Here is a 22709-nt window from a genome sequence, read left to right as displayed (position 1 = left end):
GGGCATTTTAGGTGGCTTCAGTTATTCACTATTATAAATAATGCCTGTACATGAATCTAGTTGGGAAAATACGCAATGGGGCAATGAAGAACAGAATTCAACTACAAAAGGAACCAGGTCCCCAGAGTGGAATAAGAATGAAACTTTAACACAGAAACAGTGCCATGAGAACAACTCTTAGTAGTAGAGGATGGTCAGAAAAGGAGAGACCAATTCAGAGCACCCAGCCCAGGCAGCAAATCTGAAAATAAATGACAAGGAGCTTGTTTATTGGCAGGAATATAGTGGAAGTGAGAAAGGAAATCCCTGAGCACGTTTATAAAGTCATACTGGGAACTCAAGTAAGAACAGGATATAATTTCCAATGGATTAACAAAAGTCTCCCACCCATTGCACTTTCTGTGTGACATCCTAACATACATGCGATGAGGTTGGGTGTAAGAATTTTTAGAAGCTTAAGATTTTAGATTTCTACAAATAGTAAATGCTTTGCCCTAACTAGGCAGTTTTGGGTGTTATATTTCTTAACCAATTTCAGATGTAATCCCTCAGTTTTAGGCATTGCCCTGTAACACTGTTTTGAAGTAGCCAGTGATGAAAAAGTTCCATAAACAAGGTGGTGGCTAGAATTGGCTTACATGTAGGATCTCATCTAGCAGGCAGTAGCTAAATGGAAAATTTTATATTAAATCTGGAAAGGTTTGGATCTTGACTCAAGATTATTGACTGTTTCATAGTGCAAATATTTTTAAGTAGGGAAGGGACATACTCAGTCAAAAAATCTGTTGACTAGATTTGTTACATTAGAAACAATTATGAACTTGGGAACAGGGAACTGAAGTAAGTTTTATGAGCTGAGTCTAGAGAGGAAGGAGAATGAAAAGTGTATAACCAGAATACTAGAAAAAAATAACTTTGTAAGGGGTAGGGGCTGGGAGTGTAAACAAATCACAGCAGTTATGTATAAAATGAAAAATATGAAAAACCCAAATATTAAAAAAATAGAGTAATAAATAAATAAGTTCAGAACAAATATATTAAGAATTTATGTAATTATTTAACATGATATTTTAATGAATGGGACAGTATGTAATTCAATAGTTCTTTCTGGAAATGGAATTACAGATGAGTTTTTTTCCTTTACATATCTTCATTTTCCAATTTTTCTATATTGCACATATATTACTTTGACAAATGGTGGAAAGGGAAGGAGTTTTTTTTTCTTCTTTTTAACTTGGCAGTATTATTTAAATACTTTTTTTTTTCTTTTCGAGACAGTGTCTCACTCTTTCACTCAGGCTGGAGTGCAGTGGTGTGATCTTGGCTCACTGCAACCTCCGCCTGCTGGGTTCAAGCGATTCTCCTGCCTCAGCCTCCCAAGTAGCTGGGATTACAAGAGTGTGCCACCATGCCTGGCTAAGTTTTGTATTTTTAGTAGAGATAGGGTTTCACCATTTTGGCCAGGCTGGTCTTGAACTCCTGACCTCAAGTGATCGGCCCGCCTTGGCATTCCAAAGTGCTGGGATTACAGGTGTGAGCCACTGTGCCCAGCCTAAATACTTTCTTTTTTAAGATCTTACCATAAATTTCCTGGCTCCTTACTATTTAGTGAACAAGTTCTAGAGAAATGATTAGCTCTACCAAGGTTACCATAAAAATGTTTGTCTCTGAGTCAAAGACTTTTCTTCTGTCATTCATTTACTCACCATTATCTGTATCTGGATTTAGTTCTGTTTTTTAAAAATGGGCTAACACATTATGCTGTAGTAAAGGGTTAAGGTTTATAATGTTTGCCTTGAAGTAAATACTCGGTAAACGTGCCTTTGCTTCATCATTGTTTCACATATTTAATAAAATAACCTGAATTAGAAGCCAAATGAATTATAACTGTGACAACTAAAAATAAGTATATTTTCCTTTATTGTTTTCAGGTACTTACTGAACATTACCAATAGTCTTTCATTACTTTGGATTAATTTATAGATAGGTATTAATACCAATAATAGTAATTACAGGCTATCATTTTTTTGCACACATCTTAAATCCTGAAACAAGCTTGAGTTTCTTCTCCGTTCTTCAGACATCAGCAGAAAGAGGTTCCTTCTTAATGGAAAATCTAATTCATCTTATCCTAGAGTTAAAAAAAAAAGTGAAAAAATAAGTGTTTTACTTCGGGGAGATGCTCTTTAATCTCACCCATTTTAATCTAAATTTGACTTAATGTTCCCATTTGATTGAGCAGAATGTAAGAGCCACACCCATGTCATCCCAGTAACCAGAAAAGCCACTACTTAGTCTTCCAAACCCTCACGACTGAAGCATAGTTTCCGGACAAGCAGCATCAGCATCACCTGGGAGCTGGATGGAAATACAGAATCTCAGACCCCACCCCAGACCTATGGTATCAGAGTCTGAATTTTATTGAGATACCATGTGAATTGTAGGCACATTCAAGCTTAGCACCAGACTAGACAATGCTTTTTTTTTTTTTTTTTTTTTTGGCTTGTTTTGTGGCACAGAATAAGAAGGAAACGATAAAAGGTTTTTTGTCATCAACCATTACCGTTTGTTTGTTTGTTTGTTTGTTTGAAACACAGTCTTGCTCTGTCACCCAGGCTGGAGTGAAGTGGCCCAATCTTGGGTCGCTGCAACCCCTGCCACCCAGGTTCAAGCGATTCTGGTTCTTCAGCCTCCTGAGTAGCTGGGACTAGAAGCGTGCGTCACCCCGCCTGCTAATTTTTGTATTTTTAGTAGAGACGGGGTTTCGCCATGTTGACCAGGCTGGTCTTGAACTCCTGGCCTCAAGTGATCTGCCCGCCTTGGCCTCCCAGAGTGCTGGGATTGATAAAAGTAAATGAATAAAACCTCTTAGTGTGATGAAAGCAGTAGATGCTTCACAGTCTCTAATGGAAACATGCTTTAGAACTACAGTTGGATGATCATAATTCTAAATTTAAACTTTAAATGATGTGTATTATATGTTGGAAGAGTCCCAACTACCATGATCACATTGTTCATGAGAAAGAGAGAAGAAAAGCACAAGTGAATTGTTTAAATTGACAGTGGGATTTGACTGAAGTATCTAACTGAAGCATATTTTATGGGAGAAGTTCCTGGAAAACTCATTGTAAGCCACAGAAGACCTCTCTTTGAAAGTGTTAGTTCCAAGATGTATTTAAAATATATGCAACGTTTCAAGATTCACACAGTGAAGAAAGTAGGTTGCATTGCTTTTCCCTCTATTGTTTGCATTTGGTTTAGTGGTCTCAAGTAGAGAAAACGATATACTTTTGAGGGAGCAGGGGATGTATGTGAGTTAGCAGCAAGAAGATTCTAAACATAAAGAGGCATTTAACATATACTTACTGGTTCATTCATTCATTGGTCATTCTCATGACTAATAGCAATTGAGCACCTACTGTGCCAGGCACTGTGCTAAGTGCCAGATACACAGTGGTGAGTAAAACACAGTCTCTGCCTCCATGGAGTTTGTGATAGTGTATTAATTACTACTGACAATTTTTGAAAATTATCTATGGATTTTGTTCTTCTATGATATTTCTGTGCCTAGCATCTTCCTTTTTCATTGATAATGAGAAAGGTTTAATTCTTGGTTACCAGTCTGACATATAGATTGATCAATTGTGATTGTACAGCAGATAGTAGCAGCTCATATGATATGACAAAAATGCAGCTGGCAACCTAAAGAGATGAAGCTAAGCTATGTGTCAATAACAGTTACATATTGTAACATGACCACTGTAAGGGCTTGGCACCAGCTGGAAATAAATGGAGGGCCGAGGGCTACTAGGAATGTAGTGTGGATGAGTACAAATGAGCGGGAGCCATGAAATGTCTCTTAAATTGTATGGATGAAAGGAATGCAATTATGATCAAAATGAAACATGCATTTTTTATCATATGTCCCCAATCAATAAATTGGATAATTTATTGGACTTGTATGTCTTTAAATAAAGGAAATTTGTTATTCAATCAGTCTCATAATATGCACGCAGAAAACCATTCATCTTTAAAACAAATTACTTAGTGAGTTTTCTTGGAATGATGGAATTACCTACAATAAGTGGAACCTAAGAAATTGAGTGGAAAGTTGAGATAAATAGCTTCCAATAGGCAAGTGGCCCAGACTTTGGTTGAATCAACCATTAATTCAGGACACTAATATCTTTGTGAATTATGAAGGTAGCTGCCTCCCAGATTCCTAAAACCCTGTGTTTCCATATCCCTGGCATTTGTACCTATTTAACCGCAACACAACAACTGTTGCTTGTTGCACAGTGACTAGATTCTCTGCCATGATGGCCCAGTAGTGTTGGGCCATAGTCTTGGAACTGAGGGCATAGTCTTGGAAGCCAGATGGACATGGGTTTGTAGTTCTGGCTCCACTACCTGCTAGACATGGGATTGTAGGTAGTAAAGTGTCTCTATGCCTCAGTTTTCTTACCCAGAAAATGGAGATTATAATCCTCAACTCATATGATCATGTGGATTACATAACTGTATAAAACACTTGCTGCCATGCCTGGCTCCTGATAAATGGTGGCTACTACTACTTTATTATCATTAAACTGAAGTCTTCCTAACTGGCTCCTGTTTGCTACATGAATCCCCTTTAGTAACAAGTTTTGTGTTTGTTTTTTTAACCTCTTGTTTCAGTTTCTTAGTGGCTGTATTTTTTCCCTTACTGAGTCCATATCCCAGAGGCTGCATCCCTGGCCCCCTGGGGACCCTACTCCTATGTGACACTTTTATTGAACTCTCATCTCACTTCAGGTCCAATAGACATCCTAGCTCGTGGGCACTTGGCTCAGAGATGCAGTAGTGTCTAGTGGTTGAAAGCATGGACTTTGGAGACAGGCTGCTTTGGTTCAAATCCCAGCATTTCTACTCTTCTACTTGTTAGCTGAGCGAACCGGGGTAAATTATTTCACCTCTCTGTGCCTGAGTTTCTGCCTACCTTGGCCTCCTAAAGTACTGGGATTACAGGTGTGAGCCACTGTGCCCAGCCTATTATTGTATATATTAAGAATCTAGAATAAGCAATGCTATATAGCATTGCTATTATGATTCATATCTTGGTTGAGTACCCAAGCTTGAATTTTATCTACTTCTCCCTTTTTACCCAGGGTAATCTCCCAATTGTAGGTCTATTTTGAGGACTTATATACACAGCTGCATGTCCCTAGATTATCTGGACACTGTGCTTCCATATGAAGACCTCTGTCTTCCCCACATCCTGCTACAAATGTTCCTGGCAGACACTGGCTATGACAGTGAGGAATGAGTAATATTTTGTTCCAAAGTTTATGTCTGCTAAGGAACAATGGTATCCTGGGCCCAGTCTGGTGGCCTCATTCCTGGAATAGGGTGAAACTAAGAGAGCCAAGCAAAGTGGCTGCCATGTTCTTCCTTCATTCCCTCATTTCCCTTTCCTCATTTCCACTGGGAAACAAAGATCCTCTATCGAGAAGAAAAGACAGTACAGGATTCCTCTTCACAGAGGCTGACTGTGTGCTAGAAAGTCTTGTGTAGATAGAAAGTAAAGAAAAAAGTCATGAGTGTAACTCAGAGGATGAACTTCTGTTGTATCCATGGGGGTAAATTGGTTAGGTGAATTGTTACGGTTTGAGTTCCATAATCACATAATATGGCCAAACTAAAAGCAACCCAAGAGAAACAAGTCAAAGGAAGGTTGAGTTTTGATTGAGATCTTTAAACAGAGCATATACCACTGGTTTGTAAACTGTAAAGTCCCCTCAGGGGCTTCAGTGGAAGTCAAGGGCATCAGGGTCTTACTTCTGAGTCCTCCGTGCCTGGAGTAGTACTTGGCTTGTGGCAATAAACTGTTTCTGCTCGGCAGTCCTGGCTTCAAGCCTCCCACAGGCAGATTCCTTTTAATGCTCCAAATCCCTTCCAGGGCCACTGTCAATATTTTTTAAGGCAAGAAAATAATTATTAGCGTATTCTCTTTTTAGCACAGAGTTTTTAAAGTATTTAATTGGTGATTTTTTTATTTATTTGGGTGGGGGTTTATTTGGTTTGACTAATCAAACCACTCAAATCTTTATCATATGTTTAATCTTTTATTCCATTTCATTTATTCAACTATTCTCTATGCAATTAAACCTCTACAGTGCTCTTAGATAATTTAACTTGCCCCTAAATAAATAGATGAATAGAAACATACATAACAAAACAGAGAAGGATCAGAAATAACAGTTAATAAATGGAATTCATTTAGTCAACTTTATCTGATTCTGATTTAATTCCTACAGTAAGAGAAAATATTTCCAAAGATAATAGGACCAAAAATCACTACATTAATTCATCCAATAGTTAATTCATCCAATAGATCCAAGAATCCTCTAAAAGCCACAAACTAGATGCTGTTTAATCTCCCTCTGAAAAAGAGCAACAATAAACTCACTGGATCCTACATTTTAAAAATCATTGCAAAATACCTGGAAAGTGATGTTTGCCCATTGATAATTATAGGTCTTGGGTCCTGATACCTTTCAATAAGGTTTAGCAAAGATTTGCACTTGGTTATCCTCCATATCCTAAAATCACCTGGTTAGGTTTTGAGACTCAGCAAACAAGCATGTGGTGAATGTCTACTGTGTAGAAAACTGCAACTCAAGTCTAGTAAGTTGGTGAATTTGGGTGAGTTGCCATAAGTTGTTTTTCCCATTTCTAACGCTGCAAATATTAATGCCAAATATTCTCCACAGATCCAAGGCTGCCCACTGGCATCCTCACTGATATTTGATCCCTCTCTAAAGGATTCCATAGCAAGTAATTACTAGCAGCATAGTCTCTGGGTTCAGAGGAGATCTGGGTTTTGATCTTAGTTCTACCATATATCAGTTACATGATTTTGACCAAGTTATTTAACCCACTATGTCTTAATTTCCTCATTTTCGAAATAGGGATAATAATATCTACTTGAAGGATTATTGTACGATTTAGATGAGATGGCTGTAAAGTGCTTTGTACTCAATAAATGATAGCTATTTTTGTACAGGGAGAATGATTTTACTATCCAAGCATGGACTAAGATTCCGTGACTGGAGGTACAGTCATTGAGCTGACTTGCCAAGCTGAATGTCAATACTTGCCTCTCCTTTCCCACTCCTGAGTGGAGTAGCTGAAGCTATCTGTCAAGATTAGTTTCTCTCTTCTTCAAAGACCTTCAAGGAAGATTGCACAATCTCCTTCTGTTTAAGACCTTACAAAGTTTAAGCTGTTCCTTCTATCTAACCTAAATCTTCCCCTGCCATTCAAGCCAGTTTCCTCTTCTATCCTGTTCAGAGATAGAAAAGGGCTGCTCCCCAGCCTCTGGATAATAAACTCTCAAATTTAGGAGCCTATGACATTTATTCAATACCCCCAGTGCATGATACCCTGTGGGAGACCAGGGAAATAGATTTGAACTTGTGGTTGACACTTTGTGAAGATCCAGTACGTGGAAAGCAGTATAAAATCAGGAAGCAGAACCGTGCAGACAAATCACATCAAATTAGATGGAAGAATTGTACTAAATGAAGTGTGCTCTTTCAGATGCAATCACAAGAATGTCACAGAGAAAAACACCTGAAATATAAATGCAGATGCCCAGAAATGCATCTGAAACTCTCAAAGCAAAATATGGTTATGCATAAATATTTACTATATTCAGGGATAATGGTTGCAGGAAAAAAAATAGCCCTCCATACATGTGAAGTGATGTTTGGGTGAAGAAGTTACAGAAGGTGATATATTTGACTGGATAAAAGGGGGTCTAGAAAACAGCATGGGTGCTCTCTGAGGCAGCTGCTTCTTTTAAGAGAAACTTTACTCCCTCAGCTCAGGGCATGTGCATTCCAGAAGGAGGAAGGCAGACAAAGCGGGCACGGAGCCAGAAAGACTTCAAGTGTCGACTCCTCTCAACTGAAAAAGAAAAGGGCAGCAGGCACAAGGGGAGAAGCTAGAAGAAAAGAATCAAATCTGTTCTTGAGGCTCAGAATCTTCTAGAGATTCCTCTTCTCTCTTCCCTTCTCATGCCTCCAACACCTTCTACTCAGAAACCTTTATACGTGTATTTTTATACTGAATTTTAAAATGACTAAACCATGCCTTTATGCCCAAAATTTTAGCCAGTAGGACCTGGCCTGGTCTTATAGGGAAGGTAAGCTCACACCTTAAAAATATTTTAGTTCCTTTCAGCTCTCTTTGGATTGTAAATAATGAACATTGGAGCTTGAAAATCCAGTTTAGAGCCATATCGTCTGTACTTCTCTTGTGCAAGCAAGGTCAGAGTTTGACTACAGAAAGAAAAATATAAGTAATTTTAATTTATGTCTGGTGACTCCTAGGCTCTATAATTGTCTTGGCAAGCCTTTGGTGTCTAGTAAATTCCTCCTATATTTTGGGTGCAGAAGACATTTTAATTGAATGAAATAATGAATAACTGGTGTCTAGTAAATTCCTCCTATATTGTAGGTACAAAAAACATTTTAATTGAATGAAATAATGAAATATATCCACATTTGCTTGGCAACATTTTGCACTTTCTAAGCTTGTACTTAAGTAGTAAATAAACTGGATTCAAAATTAAGTTTACATGTATTAACGCACATGTAGACACTCATTAATGTATCTGGCAATACATTTCTGAAATTCTTTGGAAAAGGAAGTGTTGTGTAAGGGGAAGATTAATAAGTTCAGTAATCAAATTTTTCATGACTACTATAACCTCTGTAGGTTTTAGCCAGAAAAATACAAAAGACCTTGCAACTTGAAAACATTAAATTAATACATCACTTTATTTCTGCAAAGTCCTTTATAGAATAGAAATGCAGAAATAGTTTTAAAATAAACAATACAATAAATGCACTATTTCCATAATGAATGTCTCATAAGCCTACATTTTTCTTTTCTTTCTTTTTTTTTTTTTTCTTTTTTTCTTGAGATGGAGTCTTGCTCCATCATCCAAGCTGAAGTGCAGTGGTGAGATCTCGGCCCACTGCAACATTCGCCTCCTGGGTTCAAGCAATTCTCCTGCCTCAGCCTCAAGAGTAGCTGGGACTATAGGTGCACACTACCATGCCTGGCTAATTTTTGTATTTTTAATAGAGACGAGGTTTCACCATGTTGCCTGGGCTGGTTTTGAACTCCTGACCTCATGTGATCGGCCTGCCTTGTCCTCCCAAAGTGTTGGGATTACAGGCATGAGCTACTGAGCTCAGCCAATTCTACATTTTTCTTTTTGAAAAGTTGTAAAGAAAGGAAAATCTTCAGGAAATCACTGAGAATACATGAATGATGGACATTAGCTAAATTCTTCCTTATCCAGAAAGTTCTATAAGTTGCCCAAATTCCATTCTATCTGATTAAAAGATCTGATGAGAAAACTACACTCCCTTTTTTTTTTTTTTTTTCAGGATGAGGTTAACCTTTTCAAGTAGACACAGGTTCTTTGCCCTTATCTGATAGGAATGCAGAAAGCCTCTGAAACCTGTTTTTACCTCAAATTTGAACCTGGAGGCTAAACTGAAACTGAACCTACAGAAAACTAGTAACATTTCTTTTTTTTAACTGAATAGAACACTACTTGCTACTAAATCAATTTCAAATCTCTGTTCCTCTCCGAAGGCATAATCTTATGTTTTAAAGAGAGATAGAAGAACCCAATGGCTAATAGCAACAACATCAGCTTCTGACAAACCTGCATCCAAGTATCAGTGTGACATTGGACAAGTCACTGCATCCCCCTGAGCCTCAGCTTCAAGTTCTTCAAAATGTGAATTAAAAGAGCATATATCTCACTGGGTTATTGCAAGAATTAAAAGAGATTATTTGCAAAAAATTTATCACGTGCAGAAGAAACTCTGCAAATGATAACCATTATTACTATTATTATCACCATAATTCCCAACATCAACATCATCATATAAAAAGACATCCCTACCTCTCAACCCAGCATCCAGTGCTTCTAACTCAGCCCATGTATCAACACATCAGGAGCCTACAAGGAATCAAAAGTCCACAGAAGGGAGGACAAGAGGCCTGTTAGCCCATTATTTCTATTGTCACTGATGGCATTCCCTAGACCCAAGTATAGAGTGCAAAGTAACAACCACGTGAGACACCTTGTCCATTTCAGTGTCTTCACAGCCCTTATTAACTATAGTCACAATATGACCACAAGAACAAGTAGCACAGTTCATTCAGATAAGAGCCCCAGTCTGAACAACTATTTCTCCTGTGTCCCGCTAGCTATGCAACCAACGGTATCCCAAAAGAAATATAATGTTCATTCTATTCAACATCCATAAAACTCAATTTCTGAATCTTTTGATTTTTTACCAATTTCATTCAGCCAAAGGAGAAGAGAAAAAGCACAGAAATGACCCCACAGCTTCAGGGTACTTCCATAATTGTCACTGTCAACTCATTCAAAAATAAAACGTGCTATAATTTAAGTTGTTTACTTCCAGGACAGATCGCCCTCTTAATAGACTCTTCAATAAGTTCAATAAATAGCCCAGTATTGCAGTATTTTATCTATGGTTAAGGAAAATCCAATCTGGACTCTTACTGAAATCTCACCTTCAACAATCAATTACTTTGTTGTCAGAGTATGTGGAGTTGATTGTCTTAAAATTCAAACAAACCCAGCTAATTCATACATAGCTACAAATATGCTTAGATCCATGCATATATGTTGGGGTCCCTAGAATTTAGACAGGCTTGGGAATATCTACAAAACAGTATGTAGCGTTTATCCAAAGTCACAAATTCAAATATACATAGGAAGAGGCCAGGCAGGTAATATGAGTAAAGCTGGCTAGGGGTAAGAAATAATTGGTTCTCCCAGTCTTTCTCTTTTTTACTACTTTTGATGGAGGCATCATACAAGAGAAACAATTTTTTGTATTTCACGATGAGAAGAAAAAACCTGCAGCGGGCACGTGAACATACATAGCTTGTGATGTTTCCCACTGGAGTGGGGAACTTGGTGTAGGATGCTGAACAGTGGAGTGGGCAGGTCAGCACGGGGCATTGTAACCCAACCCCAGCCACTGTTGTTAATACAAATGGTGCCTTGATGGTGTCAAATCAACCTTTATCCTCCGTGCTCCATCCCTGCTCAAGAAAACCTAGACATCTAGATTTGTATATAAAATTTCTAATTTTAAAATATTGACAACTGGTTCAGATATTTAAAAAATATACTGCGGGGCAAATAAATATGTCTGCAAGGTGAACCTGGCATATGGGTCAACATTTTGGGATCTTGAGCCAAACTAAGGTACCCCTCACAGTCTAATTCGATGTGGAACATGGTGGTCTGGTGTGGAGATAGAGGATGGCTCTCTGGATTTGCATTTGGACCATAGGCTATGCCATTCATTGAGATGGGTGGTATAGGGGAAGCAGCAAGTCGGGGAGAGGTGTCAATTGTTTTGTTTGTTTGTTTGTTTGTTTTGAGACGGAGTCTCACTCTGTTGCCCAGGCCGGAGTGCAATGGCGGATCTCGGCTCACTGCAAGCTCCACCTCCCGGGTTCACGCCATTCTCCTGCCTCAGTCTCCCGAGTAGCTGGCACTACAGGCACCCGCCACCACGCCCGGCTAATTTTTTTTGTATGTTTAGTAGAGACGAGGTTTCACCATGTTAGCCAGGATGGTCTCGATCTCCTGACCTCGTGATACGCCCGTCTCAGCCTCCTAAAGTGCTGGGATTACAGGCGTGAGCCACCATGCCCAGCCCAGAGGTGTGAGTTTTGTTTTGGACATGTTGGGCCTGAGTTATCTTATGACTTATGGGACATCCAGGAAAAGAAGTTTAGCCTGCAGAGACACATTTCAGAGGCATCCTAGAGAGGCCGTAGTGAAAAGTATGAGAAAATCCCAGGAAAGCTAATGGAACAAGATTACAAGACTGTGGGAAACACTCCGATAAACATCAAGATTCGGAGAATGTAGTGAATAAAAAGAGTGCTTAACAGAGGATGAGAAAGAAGTAGAGCGAGAACCAGGACAGTTAAGTATCATGGAATTTGAGAAAGGAACAAGGTTGAAGGAGAGAGCCATCGACTATGTGAAATGTTGCAGAAAGCTCAAGCCACCTAGAGGCAGAACAGTATCCACTGCATTTAGCCATAACGTGTCACCAGAGACACCATAGTGAGTAGAAAGCCAATGGGATTGGGGGTCAGATCTGAATTTGGATCTGGTTCTGCTACTTAATGCATAACCTTGGGCAAGTTAAACACCTCTCAGAATCTTAGTTTACTCATCCTAAGATGGGGATCAGAATATCAATATCATACAGCTTTGTGAGGATTTGGGGTAAGCAAAATTAAGCCCCTATCCTCAGATAGCTTGTGTTCTAGTGGGAGAGATAGCCAATAAAGAAGTATGTAAAGAAATATGGATCCTCCTCGACTTACGACGGAGTTACATCCTGAAAAACCTATCATAAGTTGAAAAAAAATTGTAAGTAGTAAATGCATTTCATACACCTAACCTGCCAAACATCATAGCTTCGCCTAGCCTACCTTAAATGTGCTCAGAACACTTACATTAGAATGGCTAACTAGAAGCTGCGGCTCATGGCCACTGCCCAGCATTGCAAAGGAGAATCATAAGGCAGATCGCTAGCCCAGGAAAAGAGCAGCATTCAAAATTTGAAGTAGGGTTCCTACTGACATGTATCACTTTCACACCATCACATTGAAAAATCATAAGTTGAACCACAATAAGTTGGGGACTGTCTGCATAAAATTTCAGGTAGCAATAGAAAACAGGAGAAAGAAGAAAGCAGTATAGGGATTAGAAGGTGACCTGGAGGACAATTTCTGTTTTGACCTGGTGGAGTGGAAAGGCCTCTCTGAGAAGATGGCATATGCAGTTGAAGCCTGAATGAAGAGAGAGGAAGATATCTGAATGTCTGGGTGACCTTTAAATGTCCTGAGGGGTGAAAATGGATTTGGCACATTCCAGAATGTCAAGAAAGCCTGTGTGGTTAAAGTGGAGTGGAAAAGTATAGGAGATGAGATCAGAGAGGTGAGCTGGCCATAGGAGCATGAAATCTAGTCTCAGAATAATAAAAAGCCATCAGACAACTTTAAGCATGGAGGTGACATGTAACGATTTATGTTTGTAAAAGATCCCTCCGGTTTCAGTGCAGAGAATTAACAGTAGCAGGGGCAGTAGCAGAGGCTGTTATAGGATGCTATTGCCAGGCCTGCAAAAGGTGGCAGGGGCTTGGCAACGGTGCTGGTGGGGGATTTAGGATATACACTGAATTCAAAAGGATTGGCTGATAGACTGGATACGGAGTTTGAGGACTTGACTTCTAGGTGTTTGGTGGTACCATCTCATGATATGGGAAAGACCTATGGGTTTTTTAAAAGCCTGGGAATAGAGAATAAGATTTTGGTTCTGGACATCTTAAGGTTGAGAGGCCTATTGGACATCCAAGTGGAGAATCAAGTAGGTTTTGGGATTTAAGGGGAAAAGTATAGGGTAGAAATAAAAAATGCTGGAGTCATTAGCCCAATAGGGCTAGATATCCCACGGTGTGAGGGTAGGTAGAGAAAAGAGCCCATGACTGAGACCTCTAAATTATACAGGCTAGGTGGAGGGAGAGCCAGCAAAGAAGATGGAGAAAGAATAGCTAAAGAGGTAGGAGCAAAACCAGGAAATTGGAGCATTGTGACCTACAGGCCAAGCTAAGAAAGTGTTTTTAGAGAGAAGGAGGAAACAACTACATCAGATGTTACAGAGAGGTTGAGTATGTTGGAGGGATCATTGGATTTGACCTTCAAAAAGAAGGCTATTTGCAATCTTGGAAAGAACAGTTTCCCTGGACTCATGGGAACAAATGCCTAATTAGAATAGGTGAAGTAGCAAAGGAGAAGTAAAGGGGAGGAGAAAATGGTTAACATGTACTTATCTTTAAAAATAGCAGCTATAGGAACCACACAATTCTCTAAAAGTTTTATGCAGAATTCTGCACGTATGTGACAAACTGTGTCTTCCAGGAAAAGAAGCCATGGCTGTCATCAGATATATAAAGGAGGGGTCACTGCAAACCGAATTAGAAGCAAATGTCCAATGGCTGGCCTCTAGGCTCTGAGGCTGGGCTGGAAGAGTGTGGCACCCTCTCTAGATGCTAATTCTCTGTTCTGGCCAATGGTATGTGGCTTCTAGCCATGATATATATTTTAAAAACAGCGGGATTTCCCATAAGTAGATCATTTTAAAACCCAAATTTATAGAATCTATTCTCCGCATTGAAAGATTTTTCTAGGCTAAAATAGTACCTCTGTGCGACCTCTAGTGGATGTTATTTTAAAAAGCAGCCCAGACAGTCTTCATTTTATATAAAGGATATTTGAAAAGATTGCTTAGGAAAATGAATTTTTATAAACCAAAAGATACATCCTATTCACTCAGACTGTCTCACAATCTAGTGTATCCAATAAGAATAATACAACATACAGCTAGTGTATAAACTAGCTTTTATGTAGATTTTTAAAACAATGAAGATAAATCCAGAATATAACAGTATAGACTTAGAAAAAAATGTTAAACACCAGGAAAATAGTACATGTAGGCGGGGCTTCCCAGCTGAAATGCAGTAGGTCATTCTGCATCCATTCATTAAGTTCAAAATAGACTTTAAAACTTTCCTTGAAGATATTATGGGAGCAAATTTCACCATTTTATTGGTCTCTCCTTTTATAAGAATGGGTCATACGAGAAGACCCAAAGGAGTTTCTATGTCTGCTTTAGAAATGTAAAGTGGGGCCGGGCGTGGTGGCTCATGCCTGTAATGCCAGCACATTGGGAGGCCGAGGTGGGCAGATCACGAGGTCAGGAGTTCAAGACCAACCTGACCAACATGGTGAAACCCCATCTCTACTAAAAATACAAAAATTAGCTGGGCCGTGGTGGTGTGTGCCTGTAATCCCAGCTACTCAGGAGGCTGAGGCAGAAGAATCGCTTGAACCCAGGAGGCAGAGGTTGCAGTGAGCAGAGATCGTGTCACTGCACTCCAGCCTGGGTGACAGAGTGAGACTCCATCCAAAAAAAAAAAAAATGTAAAGTGGGCACAACATACATCATGTAATCTGAAATGATGGACTTCTGGGCCTGCAGCCTCTCTCTTAGGAATCCTTAGTGAATTTGGACCTCACTTGCAGGTTGACCAACAATTCTCCACAAATGAAGGAGTCTATGTAATAGTTTTGTTATTTCTTCTAGCAACTGCTGATACCCAAGAGTGTCACAATAAAAATCTGATGATTTGAGAGCATGAAATATGCATCTAGTAATCGTTGAGAAGGAACCATGAAAATGAAGGACGCCAGCAGTTTCAAACTAACATCTGGGATTCTGGGGCTCCTAGAGCATCTCTTTCACACATGAACCATCAATAAGAGCTATCAATGCTCAGATCCTCTACGGGATGAAATCCTTGGATGATCTGACCATGTAAATGACTTAGGTTCTGCTGAGTCAGTGATTTGCAAAGTCGGGTACTGGACCAGCAGCATCAATATCACCTGGGAAATTTGTAAAAATCCAAATTCTTGGGCTCCACTGCAGACATACTGTGCCAAATATGCTAGGGGTAGGGCTCAGCAATCTGCTTTTAACAAGCTCCCAGGTAATTCTGATAAAAATCTAAAGTTTGGAAACCACTGTTACTTGTCATACCTATATTGATAAAGATTGAAGTTATTATTGTGTTTTTCAGGCACTTGGAAAAAATGGTACATGTCATTAAATAGAAATAACTCCACCAAGAAAGTGGGACAGCAAAGTACATATTGATATCTAGATCTTTTTTTTTTTTTTTTTCTGATATGGAGTCTTGCTCTGTCACCCAGGCTGGGGTACAGTGGCGCGATCTTGGCTTACTGCAAGCTCTGCCTCCCGGTTCACGCCATTCTTCTGCCTCAGCCTCCCGAGTAGCTGGGACTACAGGTGCCCGCCACCATACCCGGCTAATTTTTTGTGTTTTTAGTAGAGACGGGTTTTCACCGTGTTAGCCAGGATAGTCTCAATCTCCTGACCTCGTGATCCATCCACCTCGGCCTCCCAAAGTGCTGGGATTACAGGCGTGAGCCACCGTGCCCAGCCCATTTTTTTTTCTAGACATGAAGGTTTATTTGGACATAAGCAAATTAATTATAAACTAGTTCAAGAACTTTCCAAAAACTTTTTATTTCAATAGTATGGTTTTATAATAAAATACTCTGTCATCAAGTAGGCAATTTCATATTCATTTCACAAACATACTTCATTTGTCACTGAGATTACCTGCAGCTGGATTTTTAATGTGGCATTCATCTCTCTTAATATGACGTTCTTCTTCCAGTACTTCCTTAATTCTCTTATGTGGCTCACAATATAAAAATTTCTTCCCTATAAAGGCATTAACAAAATCAATTACTTAGTATAAATACTGCCCAATCTTCTAGCCATTATATCTACATGATAACAATTTTTTTAAAAGAAGACATGTTATTCCATACAAATATCAGACAATTTGCCCTGAAGGCTCTATCTTGGAAAGATCTCTTCCATGGAAACTTTAGGTTCTTTTGGGACTTCACGTTTTCATGTAATTCCTGAACTTGCAGGGTAAGTTTCAGGTACCTCTTTTAGGTGTTATGAAGAAATAGATAAAGTTTCCTCCTTAGCTTCAAGAAAACTTGCACTCGTTTGTTGAATGAACTCTTATTAAAGACCTACTCTGTGATAGGCATTTGGCTAGGGGCTGAAGACAGAGCAATGAGTAAGACAGATGTGTGTATAGAGCTTGCAATCCAGGTACAGAAGAGAGAACAAAATCTCAGCATTTTAAAATCGACATTTTAAAAGATTGAAACTGAATTGTAGTAGTGAACCACTTATGGACATAGCACTTTTCCCTGGCCTTTAAATCTGGACCTATAGGACATGACTACTACAGTCAAGGACTGAATTGTTTGTTTTAAACACTGTAGCTACATTTCTTCTCAGAAATGTAGCTCAGCCCAGATGTCAGAACTCCAGAGAAACAAAAGAGCTCTGTGCTATTGGGCCTACCCATATCCCTAATCTCTCCGGTCAGCCTCTCTCTCTTGCTCTCTGAGCTCCAGACACATGGCCCTTCTGTTCATTCCTACCTTTGCACATGCTGTTTTTGCTACCTGAGCTGCCTTTCTCCTGGTTTTGCCTATATAACTTCTACTCAAATTTTAGGTCTTGGCTTAAACATTAGTTCTTTAGGAAAACTTTCCCTTACTCCACAATCTGGAAATGACTTTTTATCATGGCACCCTCCTTTATTCTTTCATTTTACTTATTGCAATTTGGATACAGCTTCATTTTTTTATACACAATTATTTGTGTAGCTATTTATTTAATATATAACTTCTTTACCAGATCACAAACCCCATGAGGGCAGGGATGTTGTCTCTTCAGTTCATCAGAGTCTTAGAACAGAGCTTGGCATGATAATAAATGCTCAACAAATGTGTGTTCAGTTAGAACTAAGCACTGATAAATTGGAGCTCTAACTAAAGACTGTGTGCATGTCTGTCAATGCAGTTATACGGTCACTGTGAATGTCAGTGAACCGATAGTTCTAATCTCAGTATCCAAAAGCTCAATTCAAGGAACCAATGAAAACCTAAACAACCAAATACTTTAGTTGTTTATGATTTGATTTTAAACTCACATATATATGGGCAGGTATCTCATCTTTTCCAGACTAATCAATAAACAACACAAGTGAGTCAATTTGACGGGGATGCAGACTGGCAAAAATGGGGCAAGAGACCTGCTGCTTCCGGCAGTGATCCCAGGTCATTCCTGGTCATGAAGACCCAGACACACCCTCAGACATGAAAAAGTTAGAATTACATACTTTCAGGGTCTCATTCTTGTTTCCCCAAAGTTGGAAGTCATATGAATAAAATATGGGATCAGCATTACTGAAGCCTAACTTTGGTTTAATCTGTTAAATCATGATCTTCAGGCAGAAAAAGGGTTCACAAACTTGGCTAGGAAGAAAACTAAGCCTATAACAGAACAACAGAAAGGAAAAGACCACCTGCTCTCAGTTCAGATCTCCTGACAAATTTCAGCCCTGGTGCTAGGAAAATGCACAGAAGAAATCATTAAAGGTGATTTGAAGAATTGTGGTAATTGGGAGAGTACTAAGGAGCTAGTACGGGTAAATATCTCCTGCTCAGGAGAAGAAAGGAAAGGAGGGGAGAGGGGGCAGAACTTTCAGGCAGAAAAAGGTTTCACAAACTTGGCCAGGAAGGAAAGGAGAGGAGAGGAAAGGAAAAAGGGAAGGAAAGGAGAAAGGACAAAAGAAAGGAAAGGAGAAAGGAAAGAGGAAAGGAAAAGGAAAAAAAAGGAGAAAGGGAAAGGAAAGGAAGGAAAAGGAAAGGAAGGGAAAGCAAATTTAAAAAAGAAAGAAGGAAGGAAGGGAAAGAGAGAGAGAAAGAAAATTCTACAAACTCTACCATAGCAGTTTGATGTTGACCTTTACCAGCATTTTAAGTGGATTGGTCGATAGATGTCTTGTGTGTATAGAGGATGAGAAGCTGTGATCACTGAGAAGTATGACTAAGAACAGTATTATTCCAGAATTTCTTTTGAAACAATTATTATTCCACGTTTTTTGGATTTTTTTTTGTTGTTTTTTGTTTTTTTTCCTGAGAGCTAATAACAATTGCATCTTATATATATTATTATTTCTCTTTCTCACAATGACCTATGGGCAAGTATAATTATTCCTGTTTTATAGTTGAGAAAGTAGCTTCCTTGAGTCATAAAACTAAAATAATGAAAATGAGAAGCCACACCTACCTGAGTCTCCCAAGCTCCTACGGTTATTACAAATTATTCATAGTTTATTACAACGCACAGTTATAGATCCACCACACTCTACTAATCAGTTCATACCTAGAATACAGGTTTCAGTGATATGATACACTGGAGATTGTTGGAAGAAGTGGCCAGCCAGCCAGGTTAGAGCACTACAAGTGATCCTAAAGGTGACATTGGCCAGGCGCGGTGGCTCATGCCTGTAATCCCAACATTTTGGGAGGCTGAGGTGGGCAGATTACTTGAGGTCAGGAGTCCAAGACCAGCCTGGCCAACATGGTGAAACCCCATCTCTACTAAAAATACAAAAATTAGCCAGGCGTGATGGTGCATGCCTGTGGTCCCAGCTACCTGGAAGGCTGAGGCCAAAGAATTGCTTGAACCCAGGAAGGGGAAGTTGCGGTGAGCCGAGATCGCGCCACTGTACTCCAGCCTGGGCAACAGAGTAAGACTCTGTCTAAAAAAAAAAAAAAAAAAAAAAAGGCAAAAATAAATAAAAAATAAAGGTGACATTAAGTCTATGAAAGATTTGGTTGGTGCTCAAGGAGCTGCCTTTATATAATTCAAGGATGTTTACAAGCAAACAACCACACTTCGTGTTTGAGAGCAGGACTGTGATTAGGGAATATAGGGAATAGAAGCTGTAAAGAGACTGAAGACTTTTCCAATAATTACAGACATTTGAAAAATTGACTGAGTACTTTGTGCTTGTGCGAACAGCCTGTCTCTACTTAGGCTGAGTCCCTAAAAGGAGGTTCTGAGGGAGGCTGAGGCAGGAACTCTTTCATTTTCCCACCCCAACTTTGTGAGCTTGTGAAAGTTTGGACACCTGCCTTAAGTCATTAGTTCTTTCCCTGAAACTTGTGGAATGCCTAGCATGTAATAAAGACTCAATATGTTAAATTGATGAGTGAATGTTAATCCCACCTTTTACTCCTAGAGCCACAGGACTAAAGAAACTTAGAAACTAGCATCTTTAATGGGGAAATTTCCTGATAGAATTTGAAGTAGGAGGCTGGGCGTGGTGGCTCATGCCTGTAATCCCAGCACTTTGGGAGGCTGAGGCGAGCGGATCACTCGAGGCCAGGAGTTGAAGACCAGCCTGACCAACATGGCGATACCCTGTCTCTACTAAAAATGCGAAAACATTAGCCGGGCATGGTGGTGTGTGCCTGTAATCTCAGCTACTCAGGAGGCTGATGCATGAGAATTGCTTGAACCCAGGAGGCTGAGTTGCAGTGAGCCCAGATCATGCCACTGCACTCCAGCCTGGCAACAGAGTTGTCTAAAAATAATAATAATCATAATAATTTTAAGTAGGAGTAAAGAATCTCCATTACCCAAGTATACTGAATTTATGTGCTCTAAGCAAGGCCTCTGCATGCTGCTGATAATAATAACAAAAGGAATGACATTTCATAGTCATACTGGAGCTGATGCCCAGGGAAGAGGCCCCTTTCACCAGGAGGCAGTAGTTCTGTAACTTCTTGATGAGGTCTCTGGGGAGGAGAGTGTGTGGTCCACCAAGCACAAGTATGGAGGTGCTTCAGCCCAACCCTCCCTCCTGGGGCCTCCCGGTGCAGAGGAACCTTGGAGAAACCCAGTCTGCTCTCCAGAGATGCAGTCAAGAAGGTGCTGCAGGAAGGCTGGAAACTACTCTGTTCCTCTGGCTTATTCTTCTCACCATCATTCCTTAGCACCTACTGAAGACCTGGGGGTGCAAGAGGCTGTGAAATATCTGTTAATTCATGAAACAGTATGGGTGAATAACAACCTGGCTAGGACTCAAATTACAACCACTTCCATTATGGCTGTGGGCCAGAACTGTCTTTACCTATTTGAATATTGTGTGTTTGTCAGGGCAGAGAGCAAAGAACAGTGCGTTAAAATGTAGCCCATAATTATGAGATTCTAAAAGGATTGGGTAATTGTAGACTGAGAGTCCAAGAGATGGAAGTTAAAAGTGATTTTAGTATTTCGCCTGCACTGACTGGCTGTGGCAAGTCTCTTTCCTCTGGTCTAGATCTCAATTTCCTCATCTGTAAAATGAAATAACTGGCAAAATGAGCTGCGTGTTTCTAAGGGTGTATACGCATACATACATACATACACATATACATATACAAATGTGTATATAAAATGGTATACATATAAATGTGTGTGTGTGTGTGTGTGTGTTAATTCCTTTCAGAATAACGCCACTATGATTAAATTGGAGCTGATGCCCAGACCCTGAATTCAGGCAGGCTATCGGGAAGGAGGGCTTGGAAAGATGGACCTATGCTTTCTGCCACAGTGCCATCATCTCTGGTTCTGCCAAAAGCAGCAGCTCCACCTCCCCTGCCCCAAACCTTCTCAGCCAGTCCCACTGCGGTTTCCCCCAATTGCCCTGTCACTCGTTCTCCACGCCCCTCCTCCCAGTAGCGTCCGCGGCTGGAGCTGAACTCACACTGCTGGCCGTGCTCTAGGGGGCCGCGGCCGGGTTCCCCGCGCGCCCCGCACCCCAGCCCTGCTGGCGGAGGAGGCTGCTCCTCTTCGCGACCCGCCTTGGGCGCCACCACTGCGGTCACCACCACCGCCTCCTCGCCTGTCATGCCGCAGCGGTCTTCCGAGAGCCCTGGGCACGGTTTCCTTCTCAGCTCAGTCGCAGGCAGCCCAGCATGCGAGGCGTCTCGGGTTGCCATAGTGACTGCCGATTCTCCCCGCCCCCAGCCGGCCTTCCGAGGCCCTAGGTATTCCGCGCACCAAAGAAGGTGCTGAAGTTATGGGGCTGGGGTTATTATTATCATTGACCAAAGCAAAGGACTTTCCATTAATTTCTCGTTAATTTATTGTTAATTTCTCACACGAGCTCGGCAAGAGAGGCTTTACTATTCCCAGAGAATCCGAGATTCAGAAAAAGCGAAGGAAACTGCATAAGGCCTCATAGCTAGGAAGCGGCACCGTTGGAATGTGGACTCAGAAGTCTGGTCCCAAGCCGACAGAACAGATCACTGCCCAGAACAGAAAAGTTAGAAGTGGAACCGGTGTGCAGGTGAGTGCAAGGCACCGTCGCTGGTTTCACGCAGCCTTGTGCCTGTCGCGTCCTGCTCCCTGCTACACACACGCAACGTGATTGAATAAGTAAATACTGAGGATTCCCAACTTTCACGTTGTGAATTATTATATTAAGCACATTGTAGTTTCCAAGCTCTTTTGTATTCACAAAATAACAAACTAATAACTAACTTTACAGATGAAATCAAATTCAGCAAATTTTAATTTGAAGAGCAAGTAGAAAAATTCAGGGTTTTATTTGGAGCATAAGGTTGCTTTTGTCTTGGTTTGGTTTTGCAGGCCTTAAAAATGGATTACGTTGTGGTGTTAATTTTATGGAAGTTGAATGTGCATTGTTTTATAGTATTAAATCGTTCTACAAGGCTTGCAACCAAATATAGGAGACCTCTTCTGTCTCCACTGTACCCCAGAGCCAAACACTTTTAATACCAAATCCTTATATTGCTGCTTTTTATGTTTTTCAATTTTAGATATCATGTTGATTTCCTACGATGAAAGACGAGATTTCTCTCTCTTTCATACTCCCTGTGTCACATATACTTATTGCTCCTTTATACTCCCATTATAGATAAATTGAAATTTTGGCTAGAGTAATATTTGTTTACATTACTATGACAATTGTATTAGGCTAGTCTTGCATTGCTATATACCTGAAACTGGGTAATTTATAAAGAAAAAAGGTTTAGTTGGCTCACAGTTCTTCAGGCTTTACAGGAAGCATGATGCTGGCATCTGCTTGGCTTCTGGT

At 40.2% G+C, this 22709-nt stretch overlaps 2 protein-coding genes across 2 annotated transcripts in view, besides 3 other annotated features; one reads left to right on the top strand and one right to left on the bottom strand.

Annotated features, from left to right (window-relative positions):
• Positions 1-1903: 1903 nt before the first annotated feature.
• C11orf97 (chromosome 11 open reading frame 97) lies at positions 1904-21566 on the bottom strand. The gene is made up of 4 exons (NM_001190462.2): positions 21354-21566; positions 16340-16444; positions 5818-5943; positions 1904-2131 (listed from the first exon to the last, which is right to left on the bottom strand). Exons 1-4 carry the CDS (start codon positions 21496-21498, stop codon positions 2127-2129), a joined length of 381 nt encoding a protein of 126 aa, NP_001177391.1. The 5' UTR covers positions 21499-21566; the 3' UTR covers positions 1904-2126.
• Positions 21318-21537: a silencer, noted in NCBI's record as "silent region_3842". NCBI's record gives its function as "represses an Ori minimal core promoter by ATAC-STARR-seq in GM12878 lymphoblastoid cells {active_cell/tissue: GM12878}" and the evidence as "EXISTENCE:reporter gene assay evidence [ECO:0000049][PMID:35858748]".
• Positions 21318-21908: a biological region, named in NCBI's record as "H3K4me1 hESC enhancer GRCh37_chr11:94245285-94245803".
• Positions 21390-21908: an enhancer, noted in NCBI's record as "H3K4me1 hESC enhancer chr11:94245285-94245803 (GRCh37/hg19 assembly coordinates)". NCBI's record gives its function as "activates a minimal SCP1, AML or CMV promoter by ChIP-STARR-seq in naive H9 embryonic stem cells {active_cell/tissue: H9 hESC(naive)}" and the evidence as "EXISTENCE:reporter gene assay evidence [ECO:0000049][PMID:30033119]".
• MRE11 (MRE11 double strand break repair nuclease) overlaps positions 21615-22709 on the top strand; it is a 96843-nt gene continuing 95748 nt past the window's right edge. Inside the window, exon 1 of the mRNA XM_011542837.3 lies at positions 21615-21938. The gene's annotated coding sequence lies outside the window, so the exon portion shown is untranslated. The remainder of the gene's footprint in view (positions 21939-22709) is intronic.

This window comes from Homo sapiens, chromosome 11, assembly GCF_000001405.40.
Source record: "Homo sapiens chromosome 11, GRCh38.p14 Primary Assembly".
NCBI lineage: Eukaryota > Metazoa > Chordata > Mammalia > Primates > Hominidae > Homo > Homo sapiens.
The sequence above is the reverse complement of the archived record's forward strand: the minus strand, read 5'-3'. Positions and strand labels throughout refer to the sequence as shown.

Coding starts and splice junctions, on each gene's coding strand:
- C11orf97 (NM_001190462.2), bottom strand. CDS start 21,498: ATGACAGGCGAGGAGGCGGTGGTGGTGACCGCAGTGGTGGCGCCCAAG. Junction 16,445..21,353: donor CCTAGAGCACGGCCAGCAGT/GTGAGTTCAGCT, acceptor ATGCCTTTATAG/GGAAGAAATTTTTATATTGT. Junction 5,944..16,339: donor CATTAAAAATCCAGCTGCAG/GTAATCTCAGTG, acceptor AAATATTGACAG/TGGCCCTGGAAGGGATTTGG.